General features: G+C 37.4%; 1 protein-coding gene across 29 annotated transcripts in view; it reads right to left on the reverse strand.

Annotated features, from left to right (window-relative positions):
- The window catches only part of ST7L (suppression of tumorigenicity 7 like), a 101,882-nt gene that overhangs the window by 53,253 nt on the left and 24,479 nt on the right, over positions 1–24,150 (reverse strand). For 21 of the 29 annotated variants that reach the window (XR_007061293.1, XR_007061292.1, XR_007061291.1 and 18 more), the window contains 6 exons: positions 20,470–20,548; positions 12,917–13,071; positions 11,320–11,417; positions 10,937–11,051; positions 7,290–7,362; positions 5,931–6,033 (listed from right to left, as the gene is read on the reverse strand). Coding sequence is in view for 20 of the 29 variants with exons in the window: in XM_011541628.3 (XP_011539930.1) it covers positions 5,931–6,033; positions 7,290–7,362; positions 10,937–11,051; positions 11,320–11,417; positions 12,917–13,071; positions 20,470–20,548 (623 nt within the window). In the remaining 9 variants the exon portion in view is untranslated. Of the gene's footprint in view, positions 1–807; positions 1,392–4,058; positions 4,179–5,930; positions 6,034–7,289; positions 7,363–8,251; positions 8,322–10,936; positions 11,052–11,319; positions 11,418–12,916; positions 13,072–20,469; positions 20,553–24,150 lie in introns of those variants that run through there. The other 8 variants (XR_007061297.1, XR_007061295.1, XR_007061296.1 and 5 more) reach the window with 7 other exon arrangements.

The raw sequence follows: 24,150 nt of genomic DNA on the forward strand, positions 1-24,150 counted from the left end.
GCCACTTAGGAGGCTGAGGCAGGAGAATCGCTTGAACCCGGGAGGTGAAGGTTGCAGTGAGCCGAGATCAGCCCACTGCACTCCAGCCTGGATGACAGAGCGAGACTGTCTCAAAAAAACCAAATTCTTCAAAAAAACCTTAATAATTATTGTGTTTCATAACACTCGGCTTAAAGGGTCTATCTACAAACAATAATATAAGTTTATAGCATCACTCACTTAGCTGGATATTTTGAAATAGCTGAATTGTCAACTGCTTTGATATTTAGTTGAGGGGAAAATGGGTAAATTTCTACCTATAAATAAAAATGACATTAAAATGTTAAAGTGTATATGTGTGTATGTATATCTATCTATCTATATATCTATATAGTTTTATTTATTTATTTGAGACAGAGTTTCGCTCTTGTTGCCCAGGCAGAGTACAATGGCATGATCTTGGCTCACTGCAACCTCCACCTCCCAGGTTCAAGTGATTCTCCTGCCTCAGCCTCCTGAGTAGCTGGGGTTACAGGCATGTGCCACCAGGCCTGGCTAATTTTGTATTTTTAGTAGAGATGGGGTTTCTCCATGTTGGTCAGGCTGGTCTCGAACTCCTGACCTCAGGTGATCCACCCGCTTCGGCCTCCCAAAGGGCTGGGATTACAGGTGTGAGCCACCACGCCCAGCCTATATAGTTTTAATGAAGCATACTTTATATATCCCAAAATTCATGTTTGTAACTATAGACATATCTTGGACATATTGCAAGTTCACTTCCAGACCACTGCAATAAAGCAAATATCAAAATAAAGCAAGTCACACAAATTTTTTGGTTTCCCATGACATATAAAATTTACTTTGCCCAGATCCACCAGAGGAATCACTATATATGGGACCTACGGCCTTACTAAATGTATTTCTGAAATAATAGGACTTCCAAGTCAAAATGACTTCTTGATCTGTGGGCTGCAGAATGGCTGTTGTGTTAGCAGGTGTGGAAACATTAATCTCCTTGTACATCTCCAACAGAGCTCTTGGGTGACTAGGTACATTGTCAATGAGCAGTAATATTTTAAAAAGAATCATGTCTCAGCAGTAGGTCTCAACAGTGGGCCTAAAATAGTGTTTAAACCATGCTATAAACAGATGTGCTGTCATCCAGGCTTTGTTGTTCCATTTATAGAGCACAGGCAGAGAAGATTTAGCATAATTCTTAAAGACCCTAGGATTTTTGGAATGGTAAGTAAGCACTGGCTTCAACTTAAAGTCACCAGCTGCATTAGCCCCTAAGAAGAGAGTCAGCTTGTCCTCTGAAGCTTTGAAGCCAGGAACAACTTCTCCTCTCTAGCTATGAAAGTCTTAGTTGGCATCTTCTTCCAATAGAAGGCTGTTTCATCTACTTTGGAAATCTGTTGTTTCTCAACATGAGCAAAGCAGAAAAAAGAAAAAGAAGAAAAAAAATTTGAAGAAAATCTTTTGTTTATTATATCTACCTTCATGGAATAAATATAACTCTAAATCAAAGATGAAATTATAAACAGATTAGAAAATATTTTGGGCCAAGGGAGGTGGCTCACACCTGTAATCCCAGCACTTTGGGAGGCTGAGGAGGGAGGATGCTTGAGGCCAGGAGTTCAAGACCAGTCTGGGCAACATGTGGAGATCCTGTCTCTATTTTTTTTTAAAGAAAATATTTTGAACTAAATTATGTAAAAAATGTTGCTATAGTATGCAGTTAAAATTGTGTTGAGAGAAGTTTCTAGATTTAACTGGGTATATCAGAAGAAAGACGAAAATTACAGAGTTAAGTACCTATGTGAGAAGACACAGGAAATTAAAATAAAATAAACTCAAATTAAGTTGAAGGAAGGCAATAAAGAGCAGAAATGAATGAACCAGAAAATAAATAGTAGAAAAAACCCAACAAAGCCAGAGCCAAGTTCTTGGCAAAAACAAGTAAGATTGGCAAATCCCTAAAGAACCTGATCAAGAAAAATAAAACTAGCCAAGGTTAGGAATTAAAAAGTGGGGCCAGGTGCAGTAGCTTATGCCTGTAATCTCAGCACTTTGGGAGGCCGAGGCGGGCTGATCATCTGAGGTTGGGAGTTTGACACCAACCTGACCAATATGGAGAAACCCCATCTCAACCGAAAATACAAAATTAGCTGGGTATGGTGGCGCATGCCTGTAATCCCAGCTACTCAGGAGGCTGAGGCAGGAGAATCACCTGAACCCGGGAGGTGGAGGTTGCAGTGAGCCGAGATCGCGCCATTGCACTCCAGCCCGGGCAGCAAGAGCAAAACTCCCTCTCAAAAAAAAAAAAAAAAAAAAAAGAATTAAAAATTGAGTATTACAACTAATGCTGCAAATACTAATATGGCAATAAAAGGATTTTATGAATACCTTATGTCAATACATTTGAGAATTTTGATGAAATAAATTTTTAGAAAAATACAACTTAACAAAAACATAAGAAGAAACAAAAAATTTCAATAGTTATGATATGCTTAGAAATTGAATTTGTAATTAAACTATTAAAGAAATGAAATTTGTAACTCAAAGTCTTCTCACAAAGAAAACTGAAGAATCAGATGGCTTTAATAACAAATTTACTAATCATTTAGGGCAGAAATAATTCTAATTTTATACAAATTATTCCACAGAATAAATAAACAGGGACCACTCTTTAACTCATTTATAAATCCAGGGCCAGGCATATGTTTGCTCACACCTGTAATCCCAGCACTTTGGGAGGCTGAGGCGGGCAGATCGCTTGAGCCCAGGAGGTGGAGGTTGCAGTGGGCCAAGATCACACCACTGCACTCCAGCCTGGGCATGAGAGCAAGACCCTGTCTTCGTTTTTTCTTTTCCTGTTTTTTTTTTTTTTTTTTTTTTGAGACGGAGTCTCACTCTGTAGCCCAAGCTGGAGTGCAGTGGTGCGATCTCGGCTCACTGCAACCTTCATCTCTAGGACTCAAGTGATTCTCCTGCCTCAGCCCCCCAAGTAGCTGGGACTACAGGCGCACCCCACCACACCCGGTTAATTTTTTTGTATTTTTAGTAGAGACAGGGTTTCACCATGCTGCCCTGGGTGGTCTTGAACTCTTGAGCTTAGGCGATCCACCCACCTCGGCCTCCCAAAGTGCTGGGATTACAGGTGTGAGCCACTGCGCCCGGACTTTTTTTTTTTTTTTAATGAGACAGAGTCTCACTCTGTCACCCAGGCTGCGGTGTAATGGCACTATCTCGGCTCACTGCAACCTCTGCCTCCTGAGTTCAAGCAATTCTCCTGCCTCAGCCTCTCGAATAGCTGAAGAGTCTGTCTTAAAAAGAAAAAAAAAGCCAGACGCACTGGCTCACGCCTGTAATCCCAGCACTTTGGGAGGCCAAGGCGGGCGGATCACAAGGTCAGGAGATCGAGACCATCCTGGCTAACACTGTGAAACCTCGTCTCTACTAAAAATACAAAAAATTAGCCAGGCGTGGTGGCGGGCGCCTGCAGTCTCAGCTACTTGGGAGGCTGAGGCAGGAGAATGGCATAAACCCGGGAGGCAGAGCTTGCAGTGAGCCTAGATCACGCCACTGCACTCCAGCCTGGGCGACAGAACAAGACTCCGTCTCAAAAAAAAAAGAAAAAAAATCCATAAATAAAAAGTACAGATAAAAAACATAAAGGGAGGAAATAAACATAATTAATAAATAAGAATACAAATGAATAAGAATAGTGGTTACCTTTAGGTAGGAAGGGAGGTTGTAATGGGAAAGGGCAGTCAGGTAGGCGTCTGTGGGTTGATAATGTTCTGTTTCTTGATCTCGATAGTTTTCAAGCATTTACTTTGTAATAAATCATTAAGATGCACATTTTTGTCTCATACACTTTGCTGCATGTGTAGTAGAACTCATAATAAAAAGTTTACAAGGCTGGGCGCGGTGGCTTATGCCTGTAATCCCAGCACTTTGGGAGGCTGAGGCGGGCGGATCACAAGGTCAGGAGATCGAGACCATACTAGCTAACATGGTGAAACCTCGTCTCTACTAAAAATACAAAATAATTAGCTGGGCGTGGTGGCGCGCACCTGTAGTCCCAGCTACTTGGGAGGCTGAGGCAGAAGAATCGCTTGAACTCTGGAGGCGGAGGTTGCAGTGAGCCAAGATTCTGCCACTGTACTCCAGCTTGGGCGAAAGCAAAACTCTGTCTAAAGAAAAATAAAAGTTTACAGTACTCACTCCTTATCCTCAGTACATATGTTTTAAGACTCCCAGTGGATATCTGAAACCACAAATAGTACCAAACCCTACGTACACCATGTTTTTTCCTCTAAATATATGCCCATGATAGAATTTAATTTATAATTTAGGCACAGTAAGAGACTAATAACAATAACTAATGATAAAATAGAACAGTTATAACAATATGTCAATCTTGCATTTGGGGTCACTATTAAGTAAGATAAAGGTTACCTGAACACAAGCACTATGATACCATGACAGTCGATCTGATAACCGAGTTGGCTACTAAGTGACTAATGGGCGGGTAGCATAGACAGTGTTGGATATGCTGGACAAGGGGATGAGTCATGTACTAGCCTGGATGGAGGGGGATGGTGTAAGATTTCATCAAGCTACTCAGAACGGCATGCAACTTAAAACTTATGAATTGTTTATTTCTGGAATTTTCCATGTAATATTTTCAGACAGAGGCTGACTGTGGTAACTGAAACCATGGAATGCAAAACCATAGATATGGGTGAACCGCTGTCTTTAAATTTATGGAACCAGTGTCACTTAATGAGAGAATGGTATAAATATTTGTTGACTCTCTTTCTTGGATTTAAGTACTTTTCTTAACCATATCTTTACTTACTCTAACAGGCTTACAACATCCTTTTCTTGGAAATTATCTTTTAGCAATTAATCTCTTTACTGTAGCTCTTTAGCTTCCAAGCTCTATTAACACCCTTTCACTGGAATCAATAGCTATAATTACTTTCCGTAGTAAGGGCATCTATTCTTGAATTGTCTATACTTCCTAACATGGGGCATTGTTTGTAGAACCCCAATTTTTTTTTTGAGATGGGGTTTCACTCTGTCACCCAAGGCTTCAGTGCAGTGGCGTGATTGCAGCTCACTACAGTCTCGACCTCCTGGACTCAAGCAATCTTCTCCCCTTGGTCTCCCAAGTAGCTGAGACAACAGGAAGCATCACCACACTCAGATAATTTTTATATTTTTTGCAGAGATGAGGTCTCACCACATTGCCCAGCCGCTAGTCCCAAACTCCTGGGCTCAAGTAATCCTCCCACCTCGGCCTCCCAAAGTGTTGAGATTATAGGCATGAGCCACTGTGCCCAGCCCAAACCCCAAAATTTAATTTTGTGTTGTAACACACAAAGATTAAGCAATAATTTGTATAACTGCAAGGTGTACAATATAAAGACAAAGCAAGTATATAGACTCATTGGGGACGAAATAAGCATCAGCCAGTTTTTCTGGGAATTTCCACATCTGCCTCCTATCATTGATTATTTTAATCTGTTTGTCTTCAGTTTTTGTCTACCCAACCCTAGTTCAAAACCCAGGCATCTGTCTAGAAAAAGCTTTCACAGTAACAGGAAATTTGATTTAGTGATAAGAAATATGAATAATCTTTTATTAAGACCAACCCATTATTTATTTTCTACAACTATACTAAAAGAACAGCTAAGTGAACACAGTTCAAATTATATTTTGATAGTAATTACAAAGCATATAGCTAACTATTGCTCCTATCTACCTTTCTAAATGCCTAAATGTTTCAACGTCCCCTGTAAGGTGAATAATAAGCATCAAAATATAGCAGATTAAAACAATTCTGCACCAAATTATGGTGACCCAGACTCTGGTCTACGAACTGTCATCAATTTGATAAACTTAAATAAAGGTAGTATTTTTATCATAAAATTTCTCACTTTTGGAACATGAGGATTAAATTCCACAGCTCTATGAATTGCTTCCACGGCATTAATTTCTGCTGTGCTTAATCCTCTTCTGGAGGCTGTTTCTGGAGAGAATCTACAAGAAAACCACAAAATGAAAAAATAAATATGCTAAAAAAAAGAAAAAAAGTATGAATTTAGATAATAATACAGCCCCTTGAATCAAAAGAAGTTTCTGGAGATGGCCAAAAACAAAGCCAGAGGACTAACAAAAAAAAAAAAAAAATTAAAGCTGGCCGGGCGCAGTGGCTCATGCTTGTAATCCCAGCACTTTGGGAGGCTGAGATAGGTGGATCACCTGAGCTCAGGAGTTAGAGACCAGCCTGACCAACATGGAGAAACCCCGTCTCTACTACAAATACAAAATTAGCTGGGTGTGGTGGTGTGTGCCTGTAGTCCCAGGCACACATGGGAGGCTGAGGCAGGAGAATCACTTGTACCCGGGAGGCAGAGGTTGCAGTGAGCCAAGATTGTGCCATTGCACTCCAGCCTGGGCAACAAGAGTGAAACTCTGTCTCAAAAAAAAAAAAAAAAAAAAAAAAAGTATAGTCTTGTGGGTTCAACATAGAAAAAACAAAGCAGCATAAGGAATGAAAGTCTTCAAACTTAGGTAAAGAAGGCCTTCAGGAGAAGTCCACTGAAGGTACACTTTAGGAAAGGTAATAAAGTAATAAATGCAACACAGTGATATCCAGAGAATCTCATGAAATAGCAGTACATTCTTATCAAATTCTTATTTGAGAGGACACAAATGGAAAATTCCATTCTAATTCATATCAAAGCATAAAAATCTAAGGTGAAAGAAAATGGCCACTATTTGGTTGGTTTCTGAGTATCTTACCTGCACAATAAAGAGAATTCACTAAGAGTAGCCAAAAATACAAGAAAAGCAGAAGAACTCAGAATTATACTCTAAGAAGAGATAACATAAGCCTATTTCCCTACTACACACTTTATCATCATCATCATAGTTACTATTTGGTGTGTGTACTTTCTTTCTAGATATTGCTTTAGGCACTTACCACACATAATCCTCCTACAACCCTCCTGCAATATTAGTCTCATTTTACAGATGAAGGAGAGACTCAAAATGATTAACTTGCCTACAGTCCTATAGCTAAAATGTGGTAGAGTTTGAATTTGAGCTCAGGTTAGCTCTAAAAACTTTGCTCTTTCCACTACACACAGCAAGAAGCCTAAAAGCCCAAGAAGATCCAGGGCTATTCAGAAGGAAGTAGAGTGGAAAACAGCATTGTTTAAAGTCAGTAGAGGACAAGCATAATACTGAGTTTAGCAGTCTTTCCAAATCATTGTAGTTTTTATAACACGTACTTTTCTGAAACAGTCCTTGTCTTCAACAGTGCTGCTGTGTAACAGATTGCTGCTGACTTTGGAAGGCTTATATCTGTAACGATAATTTTCAATTTAGGTAGGAATTACAAAAAAGGTATTGAGACAATTTTTTAATAAGAATAATTCACGGCCAGGCATGGTGGCTCATGCCTATAATCCCAGCACTTAGGGAGGCTGAGGCGGGTGGATCATGAGGTCAGGAGTTCAAGACCGGCCTGACCAAAATGGAGAAACCCCGTCTCTATTAAAAATACAAAAATTTGCCAGGCATGGTGGCGCATGCCTGTAATCCCAGCTACTCAGGAGGCTGAGGCAGGAGAATCGCTTGAACCTAGGAGGCGGAGGTTGCAGTGAGCCAAGATTGCGCCATTGCGCTCCAGCCTGGGCAACAAGAGTGAAACTCCGTCTCCAAAAAAAACAAAACAAAACAAAACAAAAAAAAGAATAATTCACAATGCAATGCAAATTCAATAGTTATATAGGAAAAACCTGGACGTGATGTTGAAAAATCTATAATATAGTAGGAAAAACCCGTATATGAAGTTGAAAAAGCTGAATCTGAATCTTTATCTTACTATTTACCAGCTAAGCATCTTTGAGCTAGTAGCAACTTGTTTGACCTCAGTTTTCACCTCTCAAAATAATGATATTTTCTGACCGAGATGAAATTATGTCTATGAAAGCCGTCTGCACAACGGTGAAATGCGTTCAACCAATGTCTACAATAACCTGCTTATGGACGGGCGTGGTGGCTCATGCCTGTAATCCCAGCACTTTGGGAGGCTGAGGTGGGTGGATCACGAGGTCAGGAGTTCGAGACCAACCTGGCCAACATAGTGAAACCCTGTCTCTACTAAAAATACAAAAAATTAGCCGGGTGTGATGGCAGGTGCCTGTAATCCCAGCTACTCAGGAGGCTGAGGCAGGAGAATCACTTGAACCTGGAAGGCCGAGGTTGCAGTGAGCCGAGATTGTGCCAGTGCACTCCAACCTGGGTGACAGTACGAGACTCTGTAAAAAAAAAAAAAAAAAAAACAATAAAAAAAAAACCTGCTTATAGTAAGTTCAGGGGAAAAGGCATGGTATAATTAGAACTATGTAAAACCTTCACCTATTCATAGAGAAAAACTAATATTAGAAAAAAATTAAAATATTTAACAGTAGTTAAATCCAGGTTGATTCAACCGAGGGTGATATTTTTCTTCTTCCTAGATTTATTTTTCTTAAATTATTATTTTTTAGAAAATAAAAATTTCATCTGGAACTGTAGGTAAATTAATTATATCAATCATTCTCAAAAGAATATCCAAAATAATGCTATCAGAAGATGTTTCTGATCCCAGAATCATACTAGCAAATGGAGAACTAAGGAAGTAAATTTGCTTTCAACTTCCTCCAGATTCTGGAATGGTAAAAACTGGGACTCATGAAAATAACTGAAAATACAGAAGCATATCAACTTAGATATGCTTTATTAGTTTTAGTTTTATTTTATTTTTAATGAATCAGGTCCTATTCCAGTTTGTTACATTCAGTCCCTAAGCTTGCTCATCATAAGTATTATAAGCAGGCCATGTATCCAGTAAGTTACATATGGAAAGAATTTCTCACAAATTTCTCCATGAGCCTACACTATTCTGAAGCATTGCTTAAGAATTCCAGATGTTTAAAAGAAGTAAACTTCTCTTTCCAAGTATAACACATTTCAAACTTCCCAAGTCATGGGGATTCCCAAGCAAATGGGTAGGAACCTATAACAGGACAAATGTGAATAAACGACCTTTTTCTTTGTTTTTTTTGTGAGATAGGGTCTCACTCTGTCACCCAGGCTGGAATACAGTGGTGCAATCTTGGTTCACTGCAACCTCTACCTCCCAGGCTCAAGAGATCCTCACACCTCAGCTTCCCGAGCAGCTGGGACTACAGGCGCATGCCACCACACCCAGCTAAATTTTTAAAATATTTTTTTTAGAAATGGGTTTTCACCATGTTGCTCAAGCTGGTCTTCAACTTCTGAGCTCAAGCAATCCACCCGCTTCAGCTTCCCAAAGGGTTGGAATTACAGGCATGAGCCACTGTGTCCAGCCTTCAATGTGACTTACATGTGTTCTCGTATAGTGAAAGATACCACCAGAAGCATAGTAACCCCAAATTTTCAGCTTGAGGTTAAAAGCTGATGCCTCTCTCAGGATAAGAAGGGAGGCTTTATGTCTTTAAAATTCTCCAAACTTCATGTGTGGTAAACTGGTATTGTTATAACATAATAATAAAAATAACTGCCAGGTGCGGTGGCTCACGCCTGTAATCCCAGCACTTTGGGAGGCCGAGCCAGGCAGATCATGAGGTCAGGAGATCGAGACCATCCTGGCCAACATGGTGAAACCTCATCTCTACTAAAAAAAATACAAAAAAATTAGCCAGACATGGTGGCAGGCACCTGTAGACCCAGCTACTCGGGAGGCTGAGGCAGGAGAATGGCGTGAACCTGGGAAGCGGAGCTTGCAGTGAGCCGAGATTGCACCACTGCACTCCCGCCCAGGCGACAGAGTGAGACTCTGTCTCCAATAAAAAAATAAAAATAACCAATATATATTGAATTGTTACCATGGAAAGACTAATGAACTAAGAAATCAAACACCTGGATTTGCCTTTTACTGGCTGGGAGACCTTACTCCAATACTTTAACCTTCTTAAATTCCAGTTCCCTTATTCAGTTAATTGGAGACAGTAAAAATACTTGTCCCACAACATCATAAGACTATTATAACGATCATATTATCATTGAACTTTGTAACTAAAAAGCATTGTAAAAATGTTATTCTGAATTGCTCTTATAGTATATACTGCTAAGCAACTTCTCTGTTAGGCTTGCTTGACACTCCAAAACAAATAAGGTACCCCTACTATGTGCACAGCACCCATACTTCTCCAATTATCTCCCAAACATGCTGTCTTCAATGTAACTGCTGCTCATTTGTCTGTATGCTCCACTAAACTGTAAATAAACTGTAAATCCTATGAGGGCTCCCCGTCTTTTTTTTTTTTTTTTTTGAGACAGGGTCTCCCTCTGTCGCCTAGGCTGGACTACAGTGGTGCAGTCACAGCTCACTACAGCCTGAACCTCCCAGGTTCAAGTGATCCTCCCACCTTAGCCTCCCAAGTAGCTGGGACTACAGGTACACACCACCAAACCCAGCTAATTTTTTTAAAAAATTTTTTTGTAGAGACAGGGTCTTGCCATGTTGCCCATGCTGGTCTCCAACTCCTGGGCTCAAGTGATCCTCCCACCTCAGTCTCCAAAACAAAATGCTGGGATTACAGGTGTGAGCCACCATGCCCAGCCTCCCATGTTGTCTTGTTCACTGTCATATTCTGAATGACTCACTCATATTAGAAACAAGCACTCAATAAACAAACAAGTAAATCTTGACAGAAGAAAAGTTCTTCCTTGCAGACTTTTGCTAATGAAAGTCCTGATAAAGAAGATACTAAATAGCAACCTCTGAGTGCTAAATACTGACTGGTAAGAACAGAAAGAGAAAATTAAATACTAGAATATAACCACATTTATAATTACATAATTGGAAAAGAATAACCATGCTATCAACTAAGGGAATATGACTCACCATCATATTTTGCTAGGACTGCCTGAACATCTGGATAGGCCTGTAATTCTAAAAGTGATTCTAAGAGATTTTCATGGATGTTCAACATGGTAAGAGGAGGAAATTCTTTCATCAACTGTATATTAAAAGGAAAAGAAAGATTAAAATCATAACAAAGGAACTCAATAGAGCTGAGCCAGATTCATTAAGTAGAAATTCTTGTTTCTTACCATAGCTGTGAAGAAGACCTAACCCTTAAGAAAGGTACGTATATTAAATAAATACCTTGTTCTAAAAACTACCAATTAAAATACAATGATTCTGCATTAAAATAACTGGCAACTTAACTAAATTTTTAGTTTCTGGAGGAATAAATGTAATAGTCCCATCATCAATTTACTTACATCTCTCATTATTTTTACTGCTTCTCTTATTCTTCCTAATTTTCTTGCACACATTGCCAATCTTCTTTTAATATATACCAGTACATTGGTATCTCTCCCTATTTAGAAAAACAAAAAAATGATACAACTATCACTTTTGTATTGTGGGCTGCTATTTCATTAACATATCCATTAATTTTATTTGCTTCCCTTGGAAGAGTCAATTAAAATTAAATTGTGTCAGAATGGAAGAATATTAATGATGTCTACATTTGGATGATAAATATTGAACAGGAGTGTTCTCTATTTTTGCGCATGTTTCAAGTTTTCTGTATTAAAACTTAAAATACACATTTAATTATTTTTGCCTCTAATAGTAACTTAAGTACAGTATATATAATTCGTGTATGATTGACAAGTTTATTTTACCATTAGCAAAAAAGAAATACATACATTATAGTAAGATATAACATTAACCTAGTATTTAAGTTTGTGCATAAATGATCTACTATTCTGATACTCTCTATTGTTTTAAATGAAAAACAAAAAATGTCCAAAACAAAATTTCCATGGCTAATGTAAACTTTTCTTAACAGTGAGTAGTTGACAAACTATAAAACTACTTCTAGAAAGAGCTAACAAATATTTCTGTAACTAGCTCATAACCGTATTTGAGATTATTCAAAGACAAATGGCATGACATTTTTAAAGATGTAGTTTCATTAGTTCCAGGCTACAAAATTATATATTCCCACAGATTTGTGTTATAAAAACTGTGCATTAATGAAACATACCATATATATCTGTATTTAGCTTAGGGAGAAAAACATTATCCAAATTTTAATTTACACATAAAAAAAGATTTAGAACTTAGCTGCCAGTAGATAATGCATTATATAAACATATTTCAATTTATTACCCACTATTTGCCAAAATCATGAAACTAAAACCCTCTGGCCATAAAAATAGCAGGAAGCAGCATCATTGCTGATTCTAACATCTTTGGTAAAAAAAAATCTCAATCATAACTGGTAGAGCATATCTAAGAACAGAAAGGACTTCTGTTGCTATGGCTCATCTGATCTCAAGCACATCATGGAGAAAAATCAACCAAAGAAAGAATCAATGCCAAGTATGAGGTTGGATTTTGGGCTAAGAATCAGATGGTGTGAAAGGGGCCACTCCCTAGCACTATATGCAGATACACAGTCTGAAGAACCAACCAAATAATGTACCTCTACTGTTGCTTAGAGTAAGGGTGAGGATAAAGATAACAGCTGCTTATCATCACTAGAAGGCTCTCCTGAATGCTGAAAGTTTTTGAGTTATGTTTTTACAATGACCAGCCCAATTCTCACATGAAATAAATTACTGTTAAGTCTCAGAGCAGCACATCTTCTCTCAATAACCTGAGCAGATCTATTCCCTTCCACAAGCATTCTCTGGCTAATACACATTTCTGTCTTGCTGGCTTGTAGGTATTGTGAATAGATTAGTTATTTCCAGTGAAAATTAACTAACCTGTAAGTATTAAGTTTTTTATTATTGTTGTTTGTGTTAAGACACAAGCAAATTACAGATGCTAAAAGACAGTAATAACCAGTTCAAACTTGCTTACTCAGTTGAGCTTCATGCTGAGGACTTTGGTGCTGGCACTGCTGTGACTGCCTATAAATTGTTTCTCCTGCCTTGAGTGCCTGTTTAAATAACCTTTCAGCATCTACAATAGTTGTTGCTTCTTCCTCAGCCAGTAGAACATATGCAGTGGCACAGCTATGAAGAAAGCAAGAAGGCAATTTTAAATAAAATGGTAAAGCAAGTGTTTTCTCTTGGTTATGTCCCTTTGCTCTATGTCATATTTCCTTACCTACACTTTTTCCATCTTTAGAAAAAAAAAAACCTTCGTTCAATATTTTACCTTAATAGGGGCACATTGGTATATTCTTTATGTCTGATTCCACAATTCTTCCACTTTCTTATCTTTCCCTTCTCTTTGTTTTTTAAAAAAAAAAAACAAAATTTTTAAACTTCTATCTCATTCTCTGACCCATTGTCCTGTGTTTTCTTTTTGTGAAAGGGGGGAGAAAAGAAGATTTATAAAGAATTATCTGAATTGTATACCCTCTACTGGTCATACCTGCTTTTTTTTTTGAGATGGAATTTTGCTTTTGTCACCCAGGCTGGAGTGCAATGGCCCAATCTTGGCTCACTGAAACCTGGGCCTCCTGGGTTCAAGCAATTCTCCTGCCTCAGCCTCCCGAGTAGCTGGGATTACAGGCATGCAGCACCACGCCCGGCTAATTTTTGTATTTTTAGTAGAGATGGGGTTTCAACATGTTGGCTAGGCTGGTCTAGAACTCCTGATCTCAGGTGATCCACCTGCCTCAGCTTTCCAAAGTGCTGGGATTACAGGCGTGAGCCACCATGCCCGGTTGATCATACCTGCTTTTAGTCGCTATATAATTTATGACATCCATTTCATGGGGCAGGTATGGGGAGGGTGAAGATTGGGAAGATAGTCCCTTGGCCAACTAGGCACTTTTAACATCTGACTCAGAAACATAGTCCAGGACTAGACATTTTCCCCAAATCTGAGTACTCCCCTCTGCATGCTGTCCCATCCACACATGGACTTATCCACAATATTATGCAGTATAACTTCCCTTGTTCTGAATTCAGGTCCTTCCTCCTACACTCCTATTCTCATTCCTCAAAACTATGCTTATGCCAAGTTTTCTTTTCTTCACCCCACTAAAACACAGAGGCTTTTCTTTGTATCTTTTAAGTCAACACCTGGCTAATAAACTAATGCTTGTTTTGGGGCCACAAAGAGAAACAAAATGTTGTTATTCCATTCCCAGAAATAACAAATCCATCTCTTCTACAGACAATATCCTAGTTGTGATTATCTAAGACGGCACTGTCCAGTATTCTAGGCATTAGCCACATGTGGTTATTGAGCACTTGAAATGTGATGCGTCTGAATTGAGATGTGATGCAAGTGTAAAAATGCACAACGAATTTTGAAGACTTAGAAGAATGTAAAGTTCTTCATTAACAGATTTTAGAAAAGTACTGACTATATGTTAAAATAGTTTAATATTTTGGGCCGGGCGCGGTGGCTCATGCCTGTAATCCCAGCACTTTGGGAGGCCGAGGCGGGCGGATCACGAGGTCAGGAGATCGAGACCACGGTGAAACCCTGTCTCTACTAAAAAAAATACAAAAAATTAGCTGGGCGCAGTGGCGGGTGCCTGTAGTCCTAGCTACTTGAGAGGCTGAGGCAGGAGAATGGCATGAACCTGGGAGACGGAGCTTGCAGTGAGCCAAGATTGCACCACTGCACTCCAGCCTGGGTGACAGAGTGAGACTCCGTCTCAAAAAAAAAAAAAAATTAATATTTTGAATATAGCTAAATAAAACATTATTCAGATTAATTTCACCTATTTCTTTTTACTTTTTAAATGTGGCTACTAGAAAATTTAAAGTTACATATGTGGCTTGCATTATATTTCTAATAATTAGTGCTTATCTCAGCAAGAGGAGAGAAATTATTGATAAACGTACAAGACCAAGCATTAAACAAAAGTGATGGCAGGTAGCTATCGTTAAGTGGGGACAAAAACGTTCTTCAGTTATAGAAAATGCAAATCATACCATTTCATCATCCTTCAAATAAGAAGACCCTATAATACATAACAATTTCACTAATCAACAAAGATTTCTCCATTACATTACACTAGATCCCTGTGAAGCATTAGATACACTGCTGCTTTAAACACTGGCCTTCCTGCCCAGGCACAGTGGCTCATGGCTATAATCCCAGCAGTTTGGGAGGCCAAGGCAGGAGGATCACTTGAGGCCAGTAGTTCGAGACTAGCCTGGGCAACACAACGAGACCCTCTCTCTATAAAACAATAATAATAAAGATTTAAAAATTAGCTGGGTGTGGTTGTGTGCACCTGTAGTCCTAGTTACTTTGGAGGCTGAGGCAAGAGGATTGCTTAAGGCCAGGAGTTTGAGGTTACAATGAAGCTATCATCCTACCACTGCACTCCAGCCTGGGCAACAGAGCAAGACCCTGTCTCTAAACAAAAACAAAAATCAAAAACACTAGGCTTCCTGACTGCCATTCCAAAAACCGACTGAAATATTTTAAAATAACCATAATAAAAACAGTTTTTAAAAGACCTAGATGGGTATAAATCAAAATATAAACATAATTATATGCTTATATTTTGAATGTATATACTTTTAATGACTGTATGGATATATGGTGAAAAGATTTTTTCCCCCTTAAAGTTTTCTTGGATTTGTTCAAAAGTATTTTATATGGATACTAATTCAGGAAATTCATTATGTGAATACCTAATTAATCTTACTTTGAAGAATGTTGGTTTTTTACATTGAGGTAAAATTCAAATAACAAGGTTCACAGTTTAAAGCATTTTGAAGTATACAATTCAATAATTTTTAATATATTCACAGAGTTGTGCAACCATCGCCACAATGTAATTCCAGGACATTTTCATCATCCCCACAAGAAACTTCATACCTATTAAGTAGTCACTCCCCATCTCCCTTGCCTCCTCAATCCCTGGCAATCCCAAATCTATTTCTGCCTCTTGACAATGTCCTCTGATGCATAAAATATTTTAACTTTGATAAAGTCCATTTACCTGATTTTTCTTTTGCTGCTTGTACTTTTGGTGTTATAATTTATGAGACCACTGCTAAATTCAAGGTGATGATGATTTGTCCCTATGCTTTCTTCTAAGAGTTCTGTAGTTTTAACTCTTCCATTTAGGTCCTTGATTGATTTTTAAATTAATTGGGATATATGGTATGAGGTAAGGGACCACCTTTATGCTTTTATGTATGTGGCTATTCAGTTCTTCCACCATCATTGTTGAAAAGACTATTCTTTCCTCCACTGAATGGTTTTGACGCCCTTGTCAAAAATCATGGCCAGGCGTGGTGGCTCACACCTGTAATCTCAGCACTTTGGGAGGCTGAGGTGGGTGGATCACCTGATGTCAGGAGTTCAAGACCAGCCTGGCCAACATGGTGAAACCTTGTCTCTACTCTAAAAATACAAAATTAGCCGGGTATGGTGGCACGTGCCTGTATTCCCAGCTACTTGGGAGGCTGAGGCAGAAGAATCACTTGAACCCAGGAGGTGGAGGTTGCAGTGAGCCGAGATCGTGCCATTGCACTCCAGCCTGGGCAAAAAGAGTGAAACTCTGTCTCAGAACAAAACAAAACAAAACCATCAACTGACCATAGATAATATGGGTTTATTTCTGGAATCTCAATTTGAATCCATTGATCTAGGTGTCTATCCTTGTAATTTAACTACTGTAGCTTTGCGGTAAGTTTTTAAATTGTGTAGTGTGAGTCTTCTAATTTTGTGCTTCTATTTCAAGATTGTTTTGGTATTCAGGGTCTCTTGCAGTTCTGTATGAATTATAGGATCGCCTTGTCCATTTCTGCAGAAATGATAATTAAAATTTTTATAGGGATTGCACTGAATCCGTAGATCAATTTAGGGAGTACTGACATTCTAACAATAATGTCTCCCAATCCATGAACATGGGATGTCTTTTGATTTATTTATTTAACTTATGCTTTATAGTTTTCAGCATCCAAGTCTTGCACCTCCTTGATTAAATTTATTCCTAAGTATTTAAATCTTTCTGATGCTTTTGTAAATGGAATTGTTTTCTTAATTTCCTTTTCAGATTGTTCATTGCTAGGATATAGACATACAACTGATTTTCATATGTTGATTTTGTTTCTCACAATTTTGTAAACTTTCATTAGCTCTAATAGTTTCTTTGTGGATTAAGACTTTCTACAAATAAGATCATGCCATCTGTGAATGGAGATAGTTTTATTTCTTCCTTTCCAATTTAGATGCCATGTAAAATTTTTCTTGACTAAACTGCACTGACTAGAACCTCCAGTATGCCATGTAACACAGAAGTACAAGTGCAGACATCCTGCCTTTTTTCTGATGGTGGAGGGAAACCTTTCAATCTTTCATCAGTAAGTACGTATTTAGCTGTAGATTTTTCAGACGTTCTTGAGGAAGTTTCCTTCCATTCCTAGTTTTTTAATGTTTTCATCATAAAATGGTGTTAGATTTTGTCAGATCTTTTTCTTCATCAACTGAGATGGTCATGTAGTTCTTGTCTTTTGGTCTACTAATGTGGAGTATTACATTAATTGATTTCCATATATTTATCATGATGGGGAACTCTGTCAAATGTTTTTTCTACATCAGTTGAGATAATCATGTGGTTTCTTTCTTCATTCTATTAATGTAGTGTACTACATTGACTGATTTTCGTATGTTGAACCATTCTTGCATCCATGAATAAATGCCACTTGGTCAGGGTGTATAACATTTTTAATATGCTGCTGTATTTGGAGTGCTCTTTTGTTTTCAGCTATTATTTCTTCAAGTATTCTTTCTGCCCTTTTCTCTCTCTTCTTTGGGACTCCTATAATGCATACATTGATATGCGTGATAGCATCCTACAGTTCTCTCAGACTCTGGTCATATTTCTTTACTCCTTAATTTTTTCCTGCTTCTTGAATTGGGTAATCTCAATTGACTTAAATGAAACTCACTGGTTCTTGCTTCTGTCTGCTCAAATCTGCTTGCTGCTGAACCCCTATGGTAAATTTTTCATTTTAGTTATGCTTTTCAATTCTGGAATTTCTATTTAGTTCCTTTTAATTATTTCTTCCTCTTTACTGATATTCTGTAATGGTGAGATATCATTATCATGGGTTCCTTTACTTCCTTCATCATATTTAAAACAGTTGATTTAAACTTTGTGTCTATTAAGTCCAAAGTCTAGGCTTCACAGGGGCAGTTTCTATTAATTTCTTTTCTTTTTATTTATTTTTTGAGACAGGGTCTCTTTATGTTACCTAGGCTGGTCTCAAACTCCTGAGCTCAAGTGATCCTTCTGCCTTGGCCTCCCAAAGTGCTGGGACTACAGGTATAAGCTACCACACCCAACCTGATTTCTTTTCTTTCCTATGTATGGGACATGTTTTCTTGTTTCTTTGCATGCCTTGTAATTTTTTGTTGAAAACTGGAAATTTTAAATATTATATTCTGGCAACTCTAGAGACATAATTTTCTCTACTCCCTAGGATTTGTTGTTGCTGCTTTTGCAGTTGTTTGTTTAGTGACTTTTCTGAACCAATTTTATAAAATCTATATTATCTGTCATGTGTGACCAGTGATGTGTGTGCTATTTTAGCCTCGTGGTCAGTTGGTGATTTGATAGAGGTTTCCTTAAACACCTGGGAACAAAACCAAACAAAACACAAAAAGCAAAAGTATTTGCAGATGGGCTCTGTGTGGGTGCTAGGGCACACCTTCAACATTCAGCCAAACAGTTTACAACTCTGCCTTAGCCTTCTCCTCCTACTTGTACAGAACATGAAGGTTAGGCAGACTTGACAGCTTAGGACTTTCTCAAGTCTTTTCTGAGCATATGCCCAGCTCTGGCTGTGTGTGGGGCCTTGATTCCCAGAAACATGTGGGAGCTTTTTAGAGCCTTTATTCCTCAAAGTGTCTAATTCCCGAGACTTTGCTCACAAGCTTTCTGGTTTGTCTATTGTTTGTCCTTCCTGTTATCCCTTGCCCCAGGCAGCAGCAGCTAATGCATTTGCCTTTAAATGTTTTTAACAAATGACCCAGAGTGTAGTTATGTCAATTCTGGGAGAGTTTTGAAATTGAAAACTCTCTTCTTTCAGTAAGCTGAAATAAAGCAAGCCCTTTGAGCTAGTCCTTCAGAAAGCCAACAGACAGGTCAAAACAAACGACCACAGTTCTTTGAAAATAAGGTCCATTCCACTTCCTCTGGTACTAGAAACCTATACCTGGAATGTACTCTGTTGTCTTCAAGACTGCCACTGAGCTAGGGAGTGAGGGATGGGGCCAGGATAAATAAAGCACTACAAAGCTTTCTTAGAGAGATTTAGGTGTTTTTCCCCTTGATTAAGCATTCACTAGGTTACTGTAAACTTTTCATTAGTTTCCAGAGTTTTAATAAAGTTGATCCTGCCAGTTTCTGCCAGTTTATTATTTTGGCATTCTTTACTCTGCCATTTTTGCTCCACCGTGGGAAGGTCTTCTTAATAAGGATAGCGTATATACTTGGGGGAGAAGGTTCAGGGAACAACTCTAAATTTACATTATTCAGGAAGCATTCCTTGATAAACCCCAACTGGAACCATATTTTCACTCTTGGTATTTATTTAGTCTGCATTAGATTAGTATTTATTGATCTGTTCCTTGTAAATAGTAAGTTGCCTTGTGATTTTACATTTTGCCTTTTCAAAATATAAAGTTCAAACAAAGAACTATAAAAAAATGCTGCTAACATGGAAAAAAATAAACTTGACAGAGCTATGTTTTACTTATTTTTAATCCCCTTCTCATGCCTTCAAGTCCATTAGCAACTAAAGTACTCAAGATTGAATGCTTTAAGTGAATGTTTTAAACGAAAAAATTAAAACAGGTGCATAAATACATTTGTATTTTAGTACCCTTTTTTTTTTTTTTTTTTTGAGACAGAGTCTTGCTCTGTCGCCCAAGCTGGAGTGCAGTGGCATGATCTTGGCTCACTACAAACTCCACCTCCCGGGTTCATGCCATTCTCCTGCCTCAGCCTCCTGAGTAGCTGGGACTACAGGCGCTCGCCCCCATGCCCGGCTAATTTTTTGTATTGTTTAGTAGAGACGGGGTTTCACCGTGTTAGCCAGGGTGGTCTCGATCTCCTGACCTCATGATCCGCCTGCCTCGGCCTCCCAAAGTGCTGGGATTACAGGTGTGAGCCACCACACCCGGCCTAGTATGTTAGTACCCTTTTAACTATAAAGTATTATCACCATTCTCCATGAGCATTCTCCATTTTGAAAAGTATTTCTAGCATAATTTCTATTCAAAAGCATATATAGATTTACAATTTCAGAAGCAAAATACAGATGTTGGCAAACACTGAAAATTTTATTAAATATCTATAACATGCAAAAAGGAAATGACTAATGACTCCAAGTGTCTTAGGAACAGACAAAGGAGACATAAAAATCATTTGCCTTGGTTTCCTTCAAAATAAATTTATTTTCCATATATTTCAAACTTACTCATTGTTTAATTCTAAAGCTTGATAGGCTGCTTTGATTCGAGCTGGAGGATTTCTTTCCCTCCAAGCCTTCTGCATAACTGTAGAAAAAAATTCCATAAAATAGATGAGATGGTAAAAAAATAATCTGCAAAATTATGAAGAATAAGGTAGTGGAGTAAGCAAAGCTTTAAATAATATATTCTTAAACATACAAAACAAGAAACTAGGTTATTAGTTCACATTATCTATTATGAGAAATTTACATTAAATTTGTAAGCTTCACATAAAATAAAAATATATTCTTTCTCTGATTTATTTTAACAATATACAGGGTACCTAAACAAGTTAATTATATCATTATTATGTATGAACATTTATATATCTAAATGCTTGTTAACATTGAGTTTAAGTGACATCACATTATAATCAATATGAAATATTACAGTTCTACTTTTATCATTCTGAAAAGGTTTTATGGAACTGCTAAAAATAAAAATATACAAAAACTTAAAAACAAAGTCTTTGTCTAATGAATGATTCACTCTACGAAGAATGTACGGGCTTGCGTTTTGTGTAAAAGGGCAAAAAAAAAAAAGGAATTAATTTAGAATATAGTACCTCTAGAAAATGTCAGCCTCTATCAGGATTCAACAAAGGCCTGAGTTAGGATTTCTTTGGAATATTAATTTTGCTACCAATTTACTGTACCAAAATGAAGACTTCACAGTAAGTAAAGTTTTCTTTAATTAAATAAACAAATAAAGTAGACTCAGAAGACAAACTGGCCCATTTCAAGTTTGATAAGAAAAATAGAGAACCTATGAGTGTTGCTTTTGGAACAAAACCTGCAACTGTCCAGGAAGAATAATGTGAAAAATGTTTGAATTTTCCTTTGGAAACAAAATATTAGTCTCAGCTTAGAAAAGGAGTCAATATATTCCACTTGTGTAACAAAAATACATTTCTCATATCAAACATGTCACCAGCTAGCTGCCACCTAACGCTTCCTGAACTTGACAAACTGATGAAAGTCAGCACCCATCTGATACTGGCCAGGTAAAGAACATCATTCTGCTGCAACACTAAATATTACATTAAAATAATGCATAATACTAGACTTGTAATTTTTGATGATAGGCTGTCTTCTATGAGTTATATGATATTTACAGGTCAAATTTTAACACTGAATCTTTATTAACATTTTAAATTGTTATTTGGTACTCTAGTATATTAAATACATACCCTAATTTATCTAACAAATTCCCTTTTGATGGACAATTAAGTCATACTAAGTTTTTTGCTAATACAAAACATTGTGATAACAATCTTTCAGTATGTGTTTTCATATCTAATTAAATATTTCCTTTCTAGAAGTAGAACAGCTGACTAAAATATGTATATTTTAAAAGATTCTGGATCTGTAACAAGTTTGGGGAGTTAGGAGAAAAAAAAAGACTCCAGATATACACCCCCCAAATTCCACAATAAGACTGTATTAATTTATACTTTTTCAGGCAGTGTAACACAGTATAATCAGTCTTTGCTAATTTAACACCTTAACACAGTATTATCAATCTTTGCTAATTTAACATCTGAAACTTATTTTCATTTGTGTTTTTTTAAATTTCTAGTGAGGTCATCTAATTCACCTTTAAATATTTTATCTTATTCTTTTGTTTTCAAATGCTCTACCTAGCCTTTCAAGAGTATTCTTCACAACCAAAGCAGTCCTAAGCCTAAGCAGAAAGGAGAAATAAAGTTGATGGGGGAAAAATGTATATATTTTTTTCTAAAATAAGGCTTAGGAGTAATTTAAAACAAAATGCTGATTTGGTATTCAATTGTCCTCTTTAAGGGCTCTTAATATGCTGAATATAATTAAAACAAGCAATTAGCAATTCACTCAAATTTATCTATTTTTCAAGTTAAATAACATTCTAATAAGCTAACAAGCACAAAACAGATCAGCAGTTATCATAAGGTCAGGGGTCATAAATATGTAAATGCCTACAAATGCCAGGCATTAAACATAAATGAGTGAACTGAAAGCACATTCACTGTCTCAAAGGGAGAGCCACAACTCAGTTCCATCTTATTACTGTCAAGTGTAAATTCAAGTTCAATTTTGCCCTATTTTTCAAACTTCAAAAGGCATAAATTCAGATTTTAATGTAAAATCTCCTGATTTTTAAATGCTGAAGAAAAAAATCCAAAAAACAATGGTGGGCCCTTCTGGATAAGTTTGTTCTCTGCCCTAGATAAATTAATAGAATAAGAACAAAATCTAATTTAGTTATTACTGATGACAGTAAGTCAAGAGAAATTTGCCACATCACAAAAATACACATTTGTATTTCTGAAAATAAAACTACTGATATAAATCATGACCTTTATGTGAGGGTCTGAAAAGATCAATATGGAATCAACAGTCCATTTCTGAAGATCATTCACAGATACACTCTGTCCTCCTTGAGTTCAACCTTTAGCTGGGGTTAGACACACCTCTAGAGAAGTACATAAAACTTTGCAAGGACCAAAATGGAATACATGGTTTTAAGAAAATCAACTTCTAAAGCTTCAACTTTATCACTCTTTCCTATAACTGATCTACCAAAGAATGTTTCTCTGGTTTCCCTATCCTACCTAACCACAATTCCTATACCTGCTCACTGCAAAGATATGTTCCTTTCTCTTATTTTACAGAAAAAAAAAAAAAAAAAAAGGGCTTACTTCTTACCCATCCTGAATCTTACAAGATGTACTGCCCTATAGTGTAAAAATCTCCAGGTGCCAAAGGGACAATTCAAAGTTTGGGTTGGGGGCAACCATGTTTAATCAAGACATCCTATAATAGTATTGCTGCCTTTTATTTATTAAACAGTGAAGCTTGGCATTGGAAAGAAAGTATTCTGGCCGTGTATTCAAGTATATTACAGAATGAAGAAGGGAATGATAACAATTTTTAACAGTTCTATTAGCACCCCTCCCTACTTACTATCAAAGAATGGATTGCTCCTAGGGGAAGGTCCCCTCACATCAAGGCAAAGCAGGCATTAGCAAGGAGTAATAAAGGTAGTGAAGCCTAATTTCGGCCAAGTGGTAAGTTCTAGGCAAAGTTCCAAGACACAGCTATCTTTCTATCTTAGAATCTGAATTCAGAAGACAGATGGTTGTCATGGGGAGGCATGTTAATATGTTTATTTAAATTGAAAAATGAAGTCAGACTGCTCTGTCAGAAAGTAAATATGATTTCGTTGATAGAACTGACAATGAGAACTCACCCAGTCAATTAGATTATATACAGAACCTTCCACAAAGTTTAAAGAGCTAAATATGTAGCTCTAAGGATTTGACAGAAATATAATTAAAGCATGTCATAACACTTAGAACCTTACAGTCAAATGCAATTTAAATTTTTAAAAATTACATTAGAATGTTTTATTGTGGAAAAGGATGGAAGTGTGATACCAGACTCTACAGCATGAAATAATGATAATAAAATTATATAGGAATGCAAAACAGATATGTGTTCAAGAAGAAAAAAGACAACATTTACTACTGTTAAAGGGCATTTGGTAAGCTGGGCGTGGTCGCTCACGCCTGTAATCCTAGCAATTTGGAAGACCAAGGGGGGGCGGATCACCTGAGGTTGGGGTTCGAGACCATCCTGACCAACATGGAGAAACCCTGTCTCTACTAA

Source organism: Homo sapiens, chromosome 1 (assembly GCF_000001405.40).
Source record: "Homo sapiens chromosome 1, GRCh38.p14 Primary Assembly".
NCBI classification, from domain to species: domain Eukaryota; kingdom Metazoa; phylum Chordata; class Mammalia; order Primates; family Hominidae; genus Homo; species Homo sapiens.